Genomic DNA, 20,864 nt, shown 5'->3' with positions numbered 1-20,864 from the left:
GGAACAATATCACGGGGGGGTTATACACCACTGCAACATTGGGAATAATATCCTTTCCCTCCCTGGATATTAGGAACAATATCTCATGGGTGTGTACACCCCATTCCATATTGGGATTAATATCATTTTCTCCCTTGCTGGACATAAGGAACAATATAACGGGGGATGTACACTCCCTGTGATTTGCCAGTAATATTATAGACTCCCCCAGGGATATCAGAAACAGTATCAAAGAGGGGTGTACATCCCCTGCGATATTGGGAATAATATTCTTTCTTTCCCTGGATATTAGGAATAATACCACAAAGGGGGTGTATGCCCCCCGTGACATTTTAATTAATATCATCTTCCCCACTGAATATTAGGAACAAATTCCCAGGGGGTTGTACACCACCTACAATATGGACAGCTATATCATTGTCTCTCCCTCGAATATTAGGAACAATATCACAAGGGGGTTGTACACCCCCTGAGATATTGGGAGTAACTTTATACCCTTTCCACATGGATATTAGGAACAATATCACAGGGTGGGTGTACACCCTCTGTGATATTGGGAGTAATATAATCCTCTTCCCTCTGGACATTGGGAATGATATCACAGTGGGGGGCTGTACCTTTTCTGCACTATTGGGAGTGATATCACCCTCTCCTCCTATGGTTATTAGGAACACTGTCACAAAGGGGGTGTACACATCCTGCGATATTGGGAGTAATATTGTCCACTCTTCCCCGGGATATTAGGAACAATATCACAGGCGGGGTGTACACCCCCTGCGATTTTGTCGGTAATATTATTCTCTCCCAACCTGGATGTTAGGATTAATATAACAGGAGGTGTGTACACCACCTGTGATATTGGGAGTAATACCATTCTCTCCCCCCATGGATATTGAGAACAATATCACAGGGGCGGTTTACATCTCCTGCAACATTTAGAGTAATATCATCCTTTTCCCCTATGGATATTAGGAACAATATCGCATGGGAAGTGTACACCCCCTGCTATATTGGGAGTAATACTTTCTCCCTTGCTGGACATTAGGAACAATATCACGGGAATGCACACCCCCTGCGATATTGCCAGTAATATCGTCGTCTCCTCCCAGGATGTTAGGAACAATATCACAAGGGTGGTGTACACGCACAGTGATATTGGAAGTAATATCATCCACTCCCCCCATGGATATTAGGAACAATATCAGAAGGGGTGTACACCCTCTGTGATATTTACACTACTACCATCCTATACCCCCTGGATATTAGGAACAATACCACGGGGGGACGTACACCCACTGTGATATTGGGAGTAATTTCATCCTCTGCCCCTTGGATATCAGGAGCAATATCGCAAGGGGGGTGTACACCCTCTGCGATGTTAAAAATAATACCATTCTCTCCCCCTCTGGATACTAGGAGTAATATCACAGGGCTGGTGTGCACCCTTTGCGCTATTGGGAGTAATATCACCCTCTCCCCAACTTGATATTAGAAACAATATCATGGGGGGTGGCGTGTAACACCCTGCGCTGTTGGGAGTAATATCATCTAGTCTTCCCCTGGGTATAAGAAACAATATCACAGAAGGGGTCTACACCTCCTGAGATTTTGGGAGTAATATCATCCTCTCCAAATCTGGATATTAAGAATAGTATAATGGGGGGGAGTAATATATTGGAAGTAATATAATCCTCTCCCCCACTTGATATTAGGAACAATATGGCAAAACGTGTGTACACCCACTGTGATATTTGGAGTAATATCAACATTTCCCCACCTGGTATCACGGGGGGAGTGTACACTCCTTACGATATTGGAAGTAATGCTCTCTCTCACTCTAGATATTAGGAAAAATATCACGGGGTGTGTACACTCCCTGTGATTTTGGGAGTAACATCATACACTTGCGTCTTTGATATTAGGAACAATGTCACAGAGGGGGTGTACAACTTCTGCGATATTGTAATATTCTTTCTTCCCATGGATATTAGGAATGATATCCCGGGGAAGGGTTGTACACCTGCTGCGATATGGACAGTAATATCATGGTCCTTCCCCCTACATATTATGAACAATATCACAAGAGGGGGCTGGATACACCCCCTGGATATTAGAAACTGTGACGGGGGGGCTGTACAACCTCTTTGATATTGTGAGTAATACCATCCTCTTCCCTCCTGGATATTAAGAACAATATCATAGGGTGGGTGTACACCCCCTGCAATATTGGGAATAATATCATCCTCTTCCCCGGGATATTAGGAACAATATCACAGGTGGGGTTTACACCCCCTGCGATTTTGTCAGTAATATTACTTCTGGATGTTATTGAATATATCACAGTGGGGGTGTACACCCCCTGCGATATGGGGAGTAATAGCATCATCTTTCCCACTGGATACCACAAACAGTACCGCAGGTTGTGTACAATTTCCTGTTATATTGTTCACAATACTTAGGGGAGGAGAGGATATTACTCCACATATCGCAAGACGTGTTAAATCCCCTGTAATATTATTCATAATATTTAGAAGAGGACAGGATGATATTACTCCCAATATCGTAGGGAGTATACACTCCCCTGTGATACTGTTTGTAATTTTTAGGGGATTAGAGGATGATATTACTCCCAATATGGCAGGAGGTGTAAACACCTCTGCAATATAGTTCGTAATATTCAGGGGCTGAGAGGATAATATTACTCCCAATATCGCAGGGAGTGTACACTCGTGATATTGTTTATAATTTTCAGTGGATTAGAAGATATTTCTAATATCGCAGGGGTTGTACATCCCCGTATGATATTGTTTGTAATATCCAGTAGGAAAGAGGATGATATTACTCCCCATATCACAGGGGATGTAAACCCATTTGTGGTATTGTCCCTTACATCCGGGGGGAGAGGATATTACTCCGCATATCATAGGGGGTGTACACACCGCTGTAATGTTGTCCATAACATCCAGAGGGGAAGAAAATATTATTCCCATGTTTCAGGAGGTGTACACACCCCTGTGGTAGTCTCTGTAACATTTAGGGAAGAAGGGGATGATACTACTACAGATATCGCAGGGGGTGTACATCCTCCTGTGATACTGTTCGTAAAATTTAAGGGGAAGAGGATGATATTACTCCCCATGTCAAAGGGATTGTACACCCCCCTATATATTGTCCATAACATCCAGGGCGGGAGAGGATATTACTACTCCCCATATTGCAGGGGGTGGACACCCCCCTGTAAATATATCTAACATCCAAGCGGGGGCAGGAGGATATTATTCCCCCTTATCGCAGGGAAGGTAAACCCCTTGTGATATTGTCTGTAACATCCAGTGGGGAGAGGATAATGTCATTCCCCATATTGCAGGGGATGCACACTCCACTCTGATATTGGCCGTAATACCCAGGGGGGGAAGTATGATGTCACTACACATATCGCAGGGATTATTAGTATCAGATTGTTTGAAGGGCTCACAGTAAGGGTAGTAGTAGGGCGAGTTCTAAGTCAAATAGAAGAAATGTGATGGCTACTAGAAAGAATTTTATGGAGAAGGGAATGTGGGCAGAGGATAGGATCAAATCCGCATCCGTAAGGGCTAGATTTTTCTATATATATTTATTATATATATATATATATATATATATTTTTTTTTTCTATATATATATATTAAGTTGTGGGAGCCAAAATGTAATAATTGTTAGTAACAGGGCTAATAGAGTGTTGATTACTAGGGTTAATGTTAGGTGAATTACTGTTTTTCGGATGCTATCGAAACTTTGGAAATCATGGTACTATTTATACTAAAAGAGTAAGATCCTCATCAATAAATAGAAACATACAAGAATAGTCATACTACATCTATGAAGTGTCAATATCAGGCAGCACCTTCAAAGGCAAAGTGATGACTAGATGTAAAGTGGTATTTTAATTGGCGGAGAAGGCAGACAGTGAGGAATATTGATCCAATAATGACATGAAGTCTGTGAAAGCCTGTAGCTATAAAAAATGTTGAGCCATAAATACCAAATACCATCAGAAATAGCAAAGGCAGCTTTGAAGTATTCTGAGACTTGTAGGAGGGTGAAGTAAATACCTAATATAATTGTAATAGGTAGTGCTTGGATTATATGTTTTTGATTATTTTTTGTTAGGCTGTGATGGGCTCAAGTAATTGAAACTCCTGATGCAAGTAATACAGATGTATTCAGGAGAGGTACTTCCAGGGGGTCGAGGGGAGAAATACCTGTTGGGGGTCTGTGTCCTCCTAATTCTGGAGTAGGGGCTAGGCTAGAATGGTAGAATGCTCAAAAGAATCCAGCGAAGAAAAAATATTTCCAAGATAATACATAGGACTATCCCATATCGGAGGCCTTTTTGAACAGTTGTTGTGTGGTGGCCCTGAAGTGTACTTTCTCAGATACAGATCACCCTTGGTCAGTTCAATACAAATCAATCACTGTAAGTAAGCTAAGTCCTTACTAAATTGATGAGACTTAAACCCACGAAAACTTAACAGCTAAACTCCCTAGTCAACTGGTTTTAATCTACTTCTCCAGCCGCTGGGGAAAAAAAGGTGAGAGAAGCAGGATTGAAGCTGCTTCTTTGAATTTACAATTCAACATGAAAATCATCTCGGGACTGGTAAAAAGAGGTCTTGACCTCTGTTTTCAGATGTACAGACTCTGTTTTTAGATGTACATCTAGTAGATGTAAGCCCTACTCAAGTCATTTTACCCTTTTTTCTCACTTCATTTATGTTCGCCGACAGTTGACTATTCTCAACCAACCATAAAGATATCGGGACATTGTATTTATTATTTGGTGCATGAGCAGGGATAGTCGATACAGCTTTAAGCCTTATTCGAGCTGAACTGGGTCACCCAGGTACTCTACTAGATGATCAAATTTATAATGTCATTGTTACAGCTTATGCATTTGTCATAATTTTCTTTATAGTAATACTATAATTGGAGGTCTTGGCAATTGATTAGTCCCTCTGATAATTGGCACCCCCGATATAGCACTTCTCCACATAAATAATATGAGCTTCTGACTCCTCCCACCCTCCTTCCTGTTATTACTTGCATCCACTATAGTAGGGGCCGGCACTGGAACCGGCTCAACAGTCTCTCTTCCCTTAGCAGGAAACCTAACACATGCAGGCGCCTCTGTAGATTTCACTATCTTTTCACTCCACTTGGCAGATGTTTCTTCTATTTTAGGGGCTATTAACTTTATTACCACAATTGTTAATATAAAACCCCCAGCCATGTCCCAATATCACACACCCCTCTTCATCTGATTGGTCCTAATTACAGCAGTTCTTTTATTCCTTTGTCTCCCAGTCCTAGCCGCCGGCATTACTATGTTGTTAAATGACCGCAATCTTAGTACTACTTTTTTCTACCTGGCTGGCGGAGGTGATCCTATCTTATATCAGCATTTATTCAGATTATTTGGTTACCCTGAAGTCTACATCCTCATCCGACTGGGCTTTGGGATAATTTCCCACATTGTAACATATTATTCTGGAAAAAAAAGAACCATTCGGGTATATGGGCCTAGTGTGAGCTATAGGATCAATTGGGTTCTTACGGTTTATCGTATGGGCCCACTGTATATTTACAGTAGGGATAGATGTGGATACATGAGCTTGCTTCACCTCTGCTACTATAATTATTGCTATTCCTACTGGCGTCAAAGTTTTTAGCTGACTAGCTAGCTACACTTCATGGCGGGAATATCAAATGATCCCCCGCAATGCTCTGAGCCTGGGGATTTATTTTCCTTTTTACAGTAGGAGGCCTAACTGGCATTGTGTTGGCTGAGGCTTATATTACGGTTCATTTATATATTTAGAAACCTGAAAGTTTGTAAATTAGTTGTAAAAAAGTTGTAAAAAACCCAAGCTGAAATAACTGCGAAGGTGCCTTTAATATTCTGAAGACAAAATAGCTAAGACCCAAACTGGGAGTAGATACCTCGTTATGCTTAACCCTAAACTCGAATAGTTAGATCAACAAAACTGTTTGCCAGAACACTACAAGCAACAGCTTAAAACTCAAAGGACTTGGCGGTGCTTTATATCCCTCTAAAGGAGCCTGTTCTATAATCGATAAACCCCAATTTACCTCACCACCTCTTGCCCAGCCTATATACCTCCATCTTCAGCAAACTCTGGAAAGGCCGCAGGGTAAGCACAAGTATCTACATAAAAACGTTAGGTCAAGGTGTAGCCCATGAGGTGGCAAGAAATGGGTACGTTTTCTACACCCAGAAAAATCTCAGGACAACCTTTAAGAAATCTAAGGGCTCAAGGAGGATTTAGCAATAAATTGAGAGCAGAGTGCTTAATTGAATTAAGGCCATGAGCACGCACACACCGCCCATCACCCTCCTCAAATATATTCTAGAAACTAGTTGTACACCCCTCTGTGATATTGTCCATAATATCCAGGGAGGGAGAGAATGATTTGTTTTGGTTTTGTTTTTTTTTTTTGAGACAGAGCCTTGCTCTGTCGCACGGGCTGGAGTGCAGTGGTGTGATCTTGGCTCATTGCAAGCTTCGCCTCCCGGGTTCATGCCATTCTCCTGCCTCAGCCTCCTGAGTAGCTGGGACTACAGGTGCCCACCACCGCACCTGGCTAATTTTTTGTGTTTTTAGTAGAGACGGGGTTTCACCGTGTTAGCCAGGATGGTCTCGATCTCCTGACCTCGTGATCCGCCTGCCTCGTCCTCCCAAAGTGCTGGGATTACAGGTGTGAGCCACTGCACCCGGCCAGAGAGAATGATTTTACTCCCCATATCACAGGGGATTTACATTCCCCTGCATTATTTTTCCTAATATCCAGGGGAAAGATGAAGATGTTACTCCCCATATAGCATGGGAGAACAATTCCCTGAGATACTGTTCATATCATCTCTGGGGGGGGGGGAGAGAATGATATTACTCCTTTTATCACAGGAAGTATACACCCTTCTTGAGATATTGTTTATAATATCTAGTGGGGGAGAGGATGATGTTACTACCCATATTGCAGGGGGTGTACAACCCCCTAGGATATTGTTCGTAATATCCACGGCGGGAGGAGATGATGTTACTACCCATATCGCCGGGGTGTACTGCCCCCTGCCATATTGTTTGTAATATCCAGGCTGGGAAAGGATGATATTACTTCCTATATTACAGGGGACGTACATCCCCCTGCGATATTATTCGTAATACCCATAGGGGAGATAATACTACTTCCAATATCGTAAACACCCTGTGTGTACACCCTCTGTGATGATGTTTGTAATATCCAGGGTGGGAGAGGAGTATATTACTCCCTATAAGTCAGTGTGTGTATACACCCCTCTGTGATACTGTTCATAATATCCACTGGGGGAGATGATATTACTCCCAATATCATAAACACCTCACGTGTACACCGTCTGTGATATTGTTTGTAATATCCAGTGGGGGAGAGGATGATACTACTTTCCACATCGCAGGGGGTTTAAACCCCTCTGTGATATAGTTTGTAATATCCAGGGGAGAGAGGATGATATTACACCTCATATCACAGGGTGTGTACACCCCCCTGTGATATTGTTTGTAATATTGTTCCCAATATCTTTTCCCCCCATGGATATTAGGAACAATATTGCATGGGAAGTGTACACCCCCCACCACATTGGGAGCAGTAGTGTTTTCTCCTTTGCTGGACATTAGGAACAATACCACGGGGGGGTGCACACCCCCTGTGATATTGACAGTAATATCATCCACTGTACCCTAAATGCTAGGAACAGTATCACAAGGGGGATGTACACACTTGGCGGTATTGAAAGTGATATGATCCTCTCCCCACCTGGATATTAGGAACAATATCACAGAAGGGGTGTACACCCCCTGCGATATTGACAGTAATATCCTCTCCCCCACCCCAGATATTAGGAAGAATACCACGGGGTGGGGGTGTACACCCCCTGCGATATTGGGAGTAATATCATCCACTAGCCCCTAAATATTAGGAACAATATCACAAGGCAGGGAGTACACACACTGCGATTTTGGGAGTAATGTCATCGTTTTCCCGCCCCTGCATACTAGGAATATCACGGGGTGTACACTCCCATGCGCTGTTGGGAGTAATATCACCCTTTCTTCCCATGGATATTAGGAACAATATCACAGAAGTGGTGTACACACGCTGCACTGTATAGAACAAAGCAGGCGGAGGAAGGTGGGATAACCTTGCTGGCTGAGGCTTCTGGCTCTCTTTTTTTCTTCTTCCCGTGCAGGACGCTTGCTTCCCTTCCTCCTGCCCTTGGACATCAGACTCCAGGTTCTTACGCCTTTGAACTGTGGGACTTGCACCAGCGGCTTCCCCGAGGCTCTCAGGCCCTCGGCCTCAGACTGAAGACTGCACTGTGGGCTTTCCTGGTTTTGAGGCTTTTGGACTTGGACTGAGCCACTACTAGCTTCTCTCTTTCCCTACCTGGCAGACAGCCTGTTGTGGGACTTTGCCTTGTAACTGTGTGAGCCAATTCTCTCTCGTAAACTCCCTTATACATATACGTGTATCCTGGTGGTTCTGTCCCTCTGGAGAACCCTGACTAATAGATTTTTATTTTTTCTCCACTGCCCTTTCCTCTTCTTCTAGGCTTACCTAGACCACCACCATTCTTTCCCCTTTTCTAAAGTAAAAGTTGTTTTTTTCTTGCTAAATGCATGGTATTCTGCCCGTTTTCCATGGCTTCCTTCAGCCCTGCTCTGTTTATTCTTGCTCTCTTAAGAGGAAATCCCTGCCTCTTCTGTGGCTTTTCCCTCTTGGTCTACGTACTGCTTTCTGTTGTTCTCAGAGGCACACTGAGACCTTTTACATCTCACTGTCACTTCTTGGAAGGGCTCTCTCTACCTCGTCTGCCTGCTAAGCAACCTCTTGGGGAGACACGGGCACTCTTGAGTCACTGAACTTGGGCTGTTTGGTGTTGGTATGTTAATTTATCTTCTTAGACCACTTACCACTTCCTTAACTTGAAAAGAGAAGAATAATTATTATTTTCCATGGTTGATATGAAGAGTAGAAATAACTTATACAAAATGCATTGCAGTTAAGTGATGATAAATGGCCATGAATGCCCTTATTAATGTTATTCTATCAGCCTCAGCTCAGATACCATCTGCTCTGTGAGCTCTGCTCTGAATCATATCTGCTTCTTCTCTGGGTTCCTTGTGCTCTGTTCTTAACTACTTTAAAGCAGTAATTGTTCTGATTCTAATTAGTGATCCTTCCCAATAAAATTTTAATTTTGTAGATCTCTTCCCCCCACCCCTGCCCCAGCCTAACCAGTGTTTTCTTATTTTTTGTGTACAGGCTATATCACTGGTCTTCTTTTATTTGTGGCTAAATAAATGTTGTGTTGGAAGAGTAAAGAGTTCCCAGTTCCATGGGATCGATAGTTCTACAAAATGAATATAAACATAATCCATGTAAATATTTCACTTTTTAGACAATTTTTTAATTTTTAAATGTAATTTGTGCATGTTTGTATGTTAGTGAGACCAAAGATGGTGGCGGCGGGGAGCAGGGGGCGTCTCACCATGTTGCCCAGGCTGGTCTTGAACTCCCCTTCAACTGCTCCCCTCCTCACCTGGCCCCCCTCACCTTGCCTCCTCCCCTCTCACTCCTATGCCAGCCCCTGCCATTCCCCACCCCCTCTGTAGACTGCAAGACTCAACAAGTGACTTGCTGAGCAAAGCCTGCCGAGAAGAGGTCTGTTTAGGGACACGGGAGGCCAAGTACACAAAAAGGCAAAAGAACTAGCATGCCTTTTTCAATGGATGTCTGTTTTACAGGGCTGGCTTCAGATTGTTGTTACAGCTTTAAGTAAAAGGACCGTTTTGTCATCTCGGCCCGTGGCCTACATTATTTCTTTGCTGTCCATTGCCCTGGGCGCTTGACTAATAATTTAACAGCAATTTTTTTTTTTTTAAATTTTAAATCATGATTCATTGCATTGCTGTAAGAGTAATCAGAGGTAAAGTGGGGCTTGAAACTGCCTGTAGTTGGTTACTTACTGAGATCTTAGCATAATTGTCAGGTGAGAGGGTGAAGTTTTAAGTAGCGCTAAGTGGGATAGAAATTCAATGCACTGAAACTGCAGTGTCCAGTTCAGTAGGCGCTAGCCACCTGTAAGTGTTGAGCACTTGAAATGCTGGCTAGTCCTAACTGAGATGTGTTGTGTTAAATACACTGGATTTTGTCGTTGGAGTAGGAAGAACAGTGTAAAAATACCTGCTTGATGATTTTTTATATTGATTACTTGTTAAAATTATTATTACTATGATTACTATTTGGGACATATTAAGTATACTTAAAATTAATTTCACCTTTTTTCTTTTAATGGGGCTTACTAGTACATTTAAAATTACATATGCGGCTCACATATTTATTGGACAGCACAGCTCTAGTTTAGGAAGAAATAAGAAAAATAGAATAGGTAGGGGCAGTAGGAAGTTTGCCCTCTTACAAGACTGATTCTAATAAAAATAATAGATGATAGTTCTTTTTTTTTTTTTTTTTTTTTTTTTTTTTTTTTTTTTTTTTTTTTTTTTTTTTGAGACGGAGTCTCGCTCTGTCGCCCAGGCTGGAGTGCAGTGGCGCGATCTCGGCTCACTGCAAGCTCCGCCTCCCGGGTTCACGCCATTCTCCTGCCTCAGCCTCCCGAGTAGCTGGGACTACAGGCACCCGCTACCACGCCCGGCTAATTTTTTGTATTTTTAGTAGAGACGGGGGTTTCACCGTGTTAGCCAGGATGGTCTCGATCTCCTGACCTCGTGATCCGCCCGCCTCGGCCTCCCAAAGTGCTGGGATTACAGGCGTGAGCCACCGCGCCCGGCCCTAGATGATAGTTCTAATTGGCTTTTTCCTACTAGAAAAAGCAAGTGTACTTTACATGCCTCTTTGTTCTCCCTCTTTCCCCTTCAGTTTAGTGGTTAGCGTGTATTTACTATATCAGGCTTAATATTCACTAAGCAGTGTTAAGACGACTTAGGTAAATGATTCCCTGATGAACACACTTGATTTTCAAAGCACTTTCCTAACCCGTTTTTAATTGGTATAGAGTCAAAGGCAGATGGCTTATTAGTAGTCATTTCATTTAAATCTCATGGAATTTTCCTGCTAAATCTCAAAGTAAATTTGTTATAGGCTGTTTTGTCAAGTGTATGGAAGGGACAGCATAGGACATGTGGTATTTCATTTCCAAATTGCTTGAGATGATTTTCATTATAATCATACATTATTTGCTTCTGGTTTTCCGGAAAAGCCAGCTAAACCTGTGGTTCATTTAGATATAAATGAAATATCCTCAAAGGATTGCACAAAGTGACTTATGCAACTTGAATATATATTTTTTCTGTAGGGTGTTTATCCCAAATTATCTGGCCATTTGCTGCAATTTGCAGTTTTTTAGAAAGCACCAAATATTTTTCAAGTTAGAGTTGTTTTAATAAAAACAGTCATTTTGAGTTGGCAGCAGCCAAATAAAATAGCCCTTTATTTCACAGTTGAGAATTTGAAATTGGAAGGTAATTAACATATGTAAGGATGATGTATTTGCTGCCTGGCTTATAGGAATGAGCCAAGTTGTTTTTTGAGGGATGTTGTTGCTGTATATGTCCCACCTATTTTGCTTGCTTACTGAACAATGCAAGTTTGAGACAGAAATATTTGAGAACACTTTTATCAGTTGCGACATTGTGACATTTTGATAGTGAACATTTTATATGTTCTGTCAACTTAGAATGTTTGTATCTTCTGTCAACTTAAAATGTTTAATTTTGTTATTGCCAAATAATTTGGCTATAATGTTTAATTTATATAAACATTGTATAATATAAATGTTTAAACATTTTGTGTCTTCTGTCAACTTAAAATGTTTAATTTGTTATAGCCAAATAATTTGGCTATAATTGATAATTTATCAAATTAAATTGCTTTTTTTCCCTTTAGACTTTCTTCAGTCACATCTGAATAAATCACTTAGAAGTAAGCTAGATTTAATATAATGAAATGCTTAAAAGAGCTGTGTGTCTTCATATTACACTTACAGTGATTTTCTTTTGTACCCATTATATTCTACCTGCAGCTAGTTGAGGTAAAGAGAGGGCGTTTAACTGTCAAGGGAACCGCAGAGGAGACTGTAGAAATCCGGAAAGTCTCTCGGATCTTTGAGCGATTTTGGGATGCAGAGAGTGGGGCTGGGATCTCTGGCTAGGTTGGAGCCAGCCTGCATTTGTCTCTCTATCTTGGAAGCAAACTTAGAATGTAGAGATAGATGTGGCCTGGATGCTGCTAACTCTAGCCAACCACTAAATCTTAAGGTGGGAGAGATGCAGGCTTTGGCTGGGTGCTAAGCTGCTGTAGCTGGTTGAATGTAGAGGTCACTATCTTTTCTGAATAGTTGTAGGTAAATTAAATCATTCTCTACTCCCGTATGCCTGTCAACCTAATGGGAGATCGCTATAGAAAAGATGGTTTAAATTTTAGTCTTTGAAGTGGTTTATGCACATTTTTGGAATCAAGATTTAATGCAGACTTGGATTGGGTATTGAATATTTTTGATTTGTCTACTTTTCTCTCCATAGGGAGCTTACAGCTTCATTGCACCATGTGTGGCATTTGGGTCCTGTTTGGCAGCAATGACTGCCTTTCTGTTTAGTGTCTGTGTGCTATGAAGATTGCAAACGGGGTCCAGATGCATTCTGTTTTGAGAATGTCAATGGATACACTAGCTGCTGCTTTGGATTTCACCGGTTGGTGGTAGTTGACCCGCTGTTTGGAATGCAGCCAATTTAAGTGAAGAAATATCCATACACGTGGCTCTGTTACAATGGTGAAATCTACAACCATAAGAAGGTAAGGAAAAAGAAACCAGATGTCTGGATGCGATTAAACTTCAGAGCTTGTTGGTTACGATGATATTATATATTCTGTATCATGCTTTTTATTTTGCAAAGCATTCTGTGTTATCTCATTTGCTCTAAGTATGTAGGTAGGGAACTGATCAATAAAATGGTGATTGAAATGACTTGGTCACAAAAAAAGTGATAAAAATGGGGATTACACAGTTTTTTTGACTCTTAGAATTTTTTCTCCTTCTCCCCAGCTTTTTGTTTTGAAAAAAATTCTAACATACAGAAAAGAACAGAATAGTGAGCACCTAGATTGAATAATCATTAATGTTTTGCCATATTTGCTTGATTTTTCTTTCTACACACACACACACACACACACACACACACATTTTTTGCCAAATCATTTGAGAGTGTGGTGCAGATTTTGTGACACTTCTAAATATATAAGCATTTATCTCCTAAGAATAAGGACATTTTTCTACATAACATCAATACCATTATTAAACCTAAGAATCCATAATACCACCTGGCCAGGCGCGGTGTCTTACGCCTGTAATCCCAGCACTTTGGGAGGCCAAGGTGGGCAGATCACGAGGTCAGGAGGTTGAGACCATGCTGGCTAACACGGTGAAACCCTGTCTCCACTAAAAATACAAAAATAAAAAAATCAGCCAGGTGTGGTGGTGGGCACCTGTAGTCCCAGCTGCTCCGGAGGCTGAGGCAGGAGAATGGCATGAACCCGGGAGGTAGAGCTTGCAGTGAGCCAAGATTGAGCCACTGCACTCCAGCCTGGGAGACAGAGCAAGACTCTGTCTCAAAAAAAAACAAAAAAAACCACGATACCACCTAATATCCAGTTTATACTTAAATTTCCCTAAGTGTCTGGAGGATTTTTTTTTTTTTTTTTTTTTTTGAGGCAGAGTCTCAACTTTGTCACCCAGGCTGGAGTGCAGTGTTGTGATCTTGGCTCACTGCAACCTCTGCCTCCCAGGTTCAAGTGATTCTCCTTCTTCAGCCTCCTGAGTAGCTGGGACTACAGGCCCACCTGTCACCAAGCTTGGCTGATTTTTTGTATTTTAGTAAAGACGGGGGCCCAGGGTGGTCTGGAACTCCTGAGCTCAGGCAGTCTGCTCACCTTGGCCTCTCAAAGTGCTACCAAGAATATCTTTATGGCTGGTTTTTGTTTGTTTTGATCCAGATTTCATTCAAGTTTCATGCATTTGGTTGTGATGTTTCTTGGTATTTTTTTGAGACTTTTTGATAGATACCTGTCATGCACTGATAGAGATTTATATCCTATCTATGTTTTGGACATTTTTATCTCTGAATAATAGCTTTTGTCATTGTTTGTTGCCTGCTCATGGGAACACTCTTAATAATAGTCTTCTTGCTCAAAAAGTTTTGAAATAGTTATTCAAGAAATTCCTTTCACACATTTCTTTATTCCTTTATTAGGGGCCTAATATGCACCAGACATCATTTTTCTAGGTGATCGTAGAAGAAATGGTGAAAAGGAAAGGCAAGAATGGAATTGCCTGCTAGTGGGAAGTAGAAGAGAGTATTAAAACTTTTTTCTTTCTAAGTCAAATCAGTGTCATATACATGAGAATGCTAGGCGGTATGATGGCATTATCAGCTTGGCTTTCTCCTTAAATAGGAAGTGCCCTGTTTTACTCGGACAGTAGTGTATTTTTTTTTTTTTTGCTAAAAAGTTACAAGAAGTTAAATATTTTGAAAATAATTAATTTCCATTCTAAATTAGTATTAGTCAAATGTTATATTTGCAAAACTAGAGAAGTTTGTTCTGTTGCTTCTACCAAGCGTCTCAGCTTATGTAGTTGGCGCAGCTATAAATCTAATGAACAGAATGTATATTGTAGGCTTATATAAAGTATTCTGCAACATAAGCTCAAAAATACCCCCACCCCTTTTTGATAAAAAATAAAGTTTACTACTACTAATAAAATATAGCCAGAGGTGTGCTGGATGTGGAGGGGGACTGAGTGAAAGAAAGTAGGAATGGGATACAGGCTGGGGCAAAGAGCAGGCCCTCTCCCTGCAGGGGAGTATCGGGGGCCTGGAGCCAAGTTAAATGACAGCATGACTTCAGGAGGCCAGATTCGAGGGCTTTTATCTAAGATGCAGCTTTGGAGTTTGGTTTAAGAGAGTAGGAAGTGATACATCCGTTACCCAAAGGACGCTTCTCTTTTTTAAATAAATCACCTGCAGAGTTTAGGCCAAAGAGGTGGGCAAGGGAGAGTTGGGAAACTTGCTTGCTAATATCACCAAATTTTTTTTTTTTTTTTTTTTACTTGGTGGAGGCTGTAATTGGGGCAAGGACATTTTTATACAAAAATAGAGAAAACAATCGCCTATGGAATTTGATCCTTGCTCCATGCCCTCGCTAGCACCTCTCCACATGCTTGATGATATTTAAAATTTCTTCATAGGGAAAAAGCTTTTCATCCCACAATTAGAATCAGGCTTAACTTGCTTTTTGAAGAGGTAGTATGTAATTTGTGTTAAGATATAAATTACTAAGATTTTTATATCTCGAAACAGATTTAGATGATAGAGTGAGGTAGGTGGTGGTGGTTGGTGGGAAGGGGTAGTTTGTTAGAGAGGGTATTAAGAGTTGGGATTTTCAATGTGAGAGACGTGAAGGTTTGAAAATAAGTAAGAAAAGCACTAAAAGGATGAAGTCAAGGGCCTCTGAGAGCCAGGATGATAGATTCTATTTCACAGTTTAACACAGGATCACCATAGACCAAAGCAAGTTTATAACTAAGGCAGTGAAGATCATCTGTCTCCTCCCTTCCCCACTAATTGTGACCTTAGTTTTATAAGCTCCTAAGAGGCAGAAAACAAGTTGGAGACCCGTCATCTATTTTGGAGTATATGGCATGTATCTATTGTCCTAGGTGCTGAGTTTATTTTTTTCAGCTAATGACAGTTTTCCATGCTTTATGGTCACTTACCCTTCAGGCAGTTCAGCCCAGGACAGTCAGCAGAAGACTGTTTCCAGACCCCACCTGCTAGTTACAGATCATCCCTGATAGAGCAGAGAGTGGTGACCAGGTAGTGGCTTTATAGTCACTGGAGGCAAAGCCCATTTTTGGACCGTTCATTGAGGGCTTACAGACAAAAGGTTCACAAATTATGGAGTGAGCCGGATGGAGTGTGAAGCGTATTTATGGGTCGTGCACATACATAATAGGTTTAGTTTTTGAGATTTGAAAACATGTTTTAAACTTAACCTAGGATTTCCACCTGATTTAAACCTCTTCTTTCTCTAATGTCAGCCAAAAATGTGAGTATGACATACAAACAGTAATACATCAAGGACTTTTCATCCTCATAGTTTGCCAGTGATGGTGGAGAGTGTCAGAATTGGGGAGTATCCTAATCAAACCTTCTTACTCTGCATGCAGTGGCAGACAGTCCCTTTGCTGTTCCTTTGGGACATGCAGACTAATAAAGCGCCACCATCATTTTATCTCTCAGTGAGGGGTAGTTTTAATGCTACTGCAGTGGTGGAAGCACTGGGCGTTGTCATCCACCCCTGAGGACAAGCAGCTTTGTTTTGGATCATGTATCTGTTATTGTGATGGAGCCATTTATTTTTCAGGGAATGATGCCAAATAATGTTTGTCCCTTTGCTTTGCATTTTTATAGCTAGGTCTTTGAAGCTGAACTGGAGGAACTTCTTAGCCAATACTGTCTTCTCAAACCCAAAGTTTACAGTTGCAGAAGACACATTTTTTAGTGTCATGGCAACCAAGCAACCTATTACCTTAACTTTAGAGGTTGAGCATCCCTAATCTGAAAATCTGAAATTTGAAATGCTCCAAAATCTGAAACTTTTTGAGCACTGACATGACACTACGTGTGGATTTTGATGTCCCAGTCAAAATGCAGGTGTACAACACACAGTTTATTTGACGTTCCGTAGTGAAAAAAGACCCTCTCAGCCCCCTTCAGCTGCAGTATAACTTGTCTACACGTGCTCAGATTTCCCCATGCAAGCACGCCCACAAAGGGTCACAGAATGGCACATGTGCAAGCTGGACACGCCAATGGCAGGATCCCCACAGATGGGACATAAGTGCATTACCCGTTGTGTATTTTTGCTTATTCTCTGCTCTGTGGTGTTAACATACTGAAAATGTCAATAAGGCCTGTAGATATCCCTACGAGCAGCAATGATAAGGAAAAGTAGAAACGCTTATAACACAGAAAGTCAAGCTGTTGGAGAAATTGGACTGTAGTGTAAAGGTATGGATGACATGGTGAAAATGTGTGATAGAGATATTCAAGATATTGAAGGACTAGAGCTACCTGCATTCATAACAGAACAAGAGGTCACGTCAGTTTATAAAATTAAAGAGAGACTTCCAAGACAAAAGCCGTTGATGATGAGGCAGATGACTCTGGAGAAACATTATAAAAAGCCATCTGGCAGAATGCCACCTCAGTCTCAGAGGACTCACCTCCTTAGTTGCTCAGCTCTTCTGATATTTCTTCTCACCTAAAAAAAGAAAAAAAATACAATGTACAGTAACCGTTTAATCAAAACACAACCTTGTAGGTGGAGCCTGAAAGCCTGCCATTGTTTGTACAGCTGTTTAACAGCTGATGCAGGTATTCTGGTGATGCTACTGTGTTGCTTATTATTTTTTACTGTATTAATGGCATGTCATATTTTTTACTTCTGTGTGAATAAGTGTGTGAAAATGATTGCTCATCAGTAGCATATAAATTCGGAGTCAGAAATGGTGGTCAGTGATGTCAGACAGCCACAGATTTTCCACATGGTAGCTGAGATAGTGACACCTTTGCTTCTGATGGTTCCGTGTACACAAACTTTGTTTCCTGTACAAAATTATTTGAAATATTATATAAAATTACCTTTAGGCTATGTGTATAAGATATATGAAACATAAGTGAACTTCACGTTTAGACTTGGGTCTCATCCCCAAGATACCTCACGTAGATGCAAATATTCTAAAATCCAAAAAAAATTCCAAAACCCAAAATACTTCTGGTTCCAAACATTTCAGAGAAGGGATACTCAATCTGCGTATACATAAATATTTATGTATCACATACATAGTATGTATATAATATGCATTTCCATTCCTCTACAGGTTGCTATTCTGGTACATTCCCATTATATTCTGTTTATCAGACTGCACCTAAAACTTTCATGGGTTCAGCCTTATGTTGAACAGAATTTGCAGAATTATGAGTTGAAGCAAACCCTAGTTGGATAATGCTATGATTCTCCTAAATCACCAAAGTGCATGAAATAATTTTAGAGCTCCAGAAATACTGAAGCAACTTTGCAATAAAAAATTATTAGTGAATGCACAAGGAGTCTATAACGTTTTGGTTTTGCTATTGCTTCCTAAGGTGCAACACTATTTTGAATTTGAATACCAGACCAAAGTGGATGGTGAGATAATCCTTCGTCTTTATGACAAAGGAGGAATTGAGCAAACAATTTGTGTGTTGGATGGTGTGTTTGCATTTGTTTTACTGGATTCTGCCAATAAGAAAGTGTTCCTGGGCAGAGATACATGAGGAGTCAGACCTTCGTTTAAAGCAGTGACAGAAGATGGATTTTTGGCTGTATGTTCAGAAGCTAAAGGTAATAGTAAATTTATCTATAGATTTTCATTATTGTCTTGGTCGTGTGTTTTCTTTTAAATTCTATTTGAAAATCTCTTAGCAATCCAGAATTTTACAAGTGACTGAGTTATGAGTTCTTACCTTTTTTAAAAAAACAGAGGAGTTGTACTCTCCTTTTCAGCATTTAAATTCTGTAATCCTTGAAGGATGGGTCTTTAGTGTAGTCATTTATTTTTTGCTGTGCTAATATGCTCTGCATCTAGCTTGATCGCAAGTGCAGTTTTAAGTTTTCCTGTGTCATACTGTAATGGTAGGGCTGGCTGTGCAATTATTGCCATGTGGTACTTTGCCACAGTAACAGCACAGCAAATACTAGGATTTCTAAAACAGCTTTATTGGTAATTGACATACCATGTAATTCACCCACTTGAAGTATACAGGTCAGTGGTTTTAGCATATTCACAGATGTTGGTAACCAGCATTCCAATCAATTCTAGAATTGTTTCTCCACCTCAAAAAAAACCAAATCAAATCCTATGCCCTTTACCTTATTTTATTTTTATTTATTTATTTTTTTAAGAGATGGGGTCTTGCTCAGTCAACCAGCCCAGGCTGGAGTACAGTGGTGTAATCATACTTAGTGCAGCCTTGAACTCCTGGGCTCAAATGATCCTCCCACCTCAGCCTCCCTAGTAGCTATACGAGTACAGGCATGGACCACAACACCCTGCCTCCTGTGCCCTTTAGCTTTCAATTCCATCTCTCCACATCCCTCATCTGCACCCCCGCAGTTGTAGCGCTGGAAATCACCAATCTTTCTGTCTCTGGATTCCCTATTGCGTGTGTTTCATATAAATGGGATTATATATCATACGGGCTTTTGTTACTGGATTCTTTCACTTGGCATAATGCTTGCAAGATTTGTCTATGCTATAACATGTATCAGTACTTACTTTTTATGGCCGAATGATAGTCTGTTACATGGATACACTGGATTTTGTTTATCCACTTGTCAGTTGATGGACATTTAGGACATTGCTAACCCCTTTTGGCCATTACGAATAATGCTGCTATAAACATTGGTGTACAAGTTTTTGTGTAGACATTTCTCTTTGGTGTATATCTGGAGCAGAATTGCTCGGATGCGTGATAACTGTCTAATTGAGGAACTGCCAAACTACTTTTTGAAATGGCTGCATTATTTTTTATTCCCTCCAGCGGTGTATTAAAATTTCAGTTTCTCCACATCTTCACAAGCACTGTGACTTTTTAATTGTAGCCATTGTAATGTATGTGAAATTGTATCTCACTGTGGTTTTGATTTGTATTTTCACGGTGACAGTAATGTCCAGTGTCTTATTGCATGCTTATTGGCCATGTGTATATCTTCTTTGGAGAAATATTTGTTGAGATCTTTTGCCATTTTTTTTCCTGCTAGGGATCATTTTATTTTAAAAACATAGTAGACTCTTTTTTCCTAGCAGTTTTAGAAAAAATAGAAAAGTGCAGAGAGTTCACATATGCTCCCCTACAATGCCCCCGCCCAGTCTTCCCGACTCTTAACATCTTGCGTTACTGTGCTACATTTATTAGATTTGATGAACTGATACTTATATCTGAAGTTCATAGTTTACATTAGGGTTCACTCTGTGTTTCATAAATTTTTGGATTTGACAAATGTATAATGTCATGTACCCACCATTACAGTATTATGTAGAACAATTTCATTGCCCTAAAAATCTCCTGTGCTCCACTGATTCGTTCCTCCTCCTCCTCTTTCTCCTACCCCCGGTCATTACTGATCTTTTCACTCTCTCTAATTTTGCCTCTCCCAGAATGTCATGTAATAGATCATGTAGTATGTATCCTTTTCAGACTGGCTTCTTTCACCTAGCAGTATACATTTAGGGTTCTTCTGTGTTTTTTTCATGGCTTGATAGCTTATTTTTCAAATTGCTGAATAATATTCCATTTGTTTGCATGTATTGCAGTTTGTTTATCCATTCTTGAATTATCCATCTCTAATTGGGTTGTTTCGTCTTTTTATTTACTGAATTGTAATTCTTCCATATGTATTCTAGATACAAATCCCTTGTGTTCATCAGGGTTGCAGGATACAAGATCAATATACAAAAATCAATAGTATTTGACACACTTTAACTGAGTACTACATACTCACAATGAGCAATCAGAAAATGAAATTAAGAAAGCAACTTCATTTATCATAGCATCAACAAGAATAAAATACTTACTAATAAATTTAAGAAGTGTAAAACTTGTACTCTGAAAACTATAAAACATTGTCGAAAGAAGTGAAAGAAGATC

The 20,864-nt window shown here is 40.4% G+C and overlaps 1 long non-coding RNA gene and 2 pseudogenes across 1 annotated transcript in view; 2 read left to right on the top strand and 1 right to left on the bottom strand.

The window, feature by feature from the left end:
* Window positions 1-20,864, top strand: part of LOC442028 (uncharacterized) — a 78,658-nt gene that overhangs the window by 41,926 nt on the left and 15,868 nt on the right. The window contains exons 6-7 of the long non-coding RNA NR_037597.1: window positions 12,639-12,909; window positions 18,321-18,558. This is a non-coding gene — a long non-coding RNA (uncharacterized LOC442028). The remainder of the gene's footprint in view (window positions 1-12,638; window positions 12,910-18,320; window positions 18,559-20,864) is intronic.
* Window positions 3,815-4,427, bottom strand: MTCO3P45 (MT-CO3 pseudogene 45; annotated as a pseudogene).
* MTCO1P48 (MT-CO1 pseudogene 48) lies at window positions 4,756-5,851 on the top strand (annotated as a pseudogene).

Source organism: Homo sapiens, chromosome 2 (genome assembly GCF_000001405.40).
Source record: "Homo sapiens chromosome 2, GRCh38.p14 Primary Assembly".
In the NCBI taxonomy this organism is placed as follows: Eukaryota; Metazoa; Chordata; class Mammalia; order Primates; family Hominidae; genus Homo; species Homo sapiens.
The sequence above is the reverse complement of the archived record's forward strand: the minus strand, read 5'-3'. Positions and strand labels throughout refer to the sequence as shown.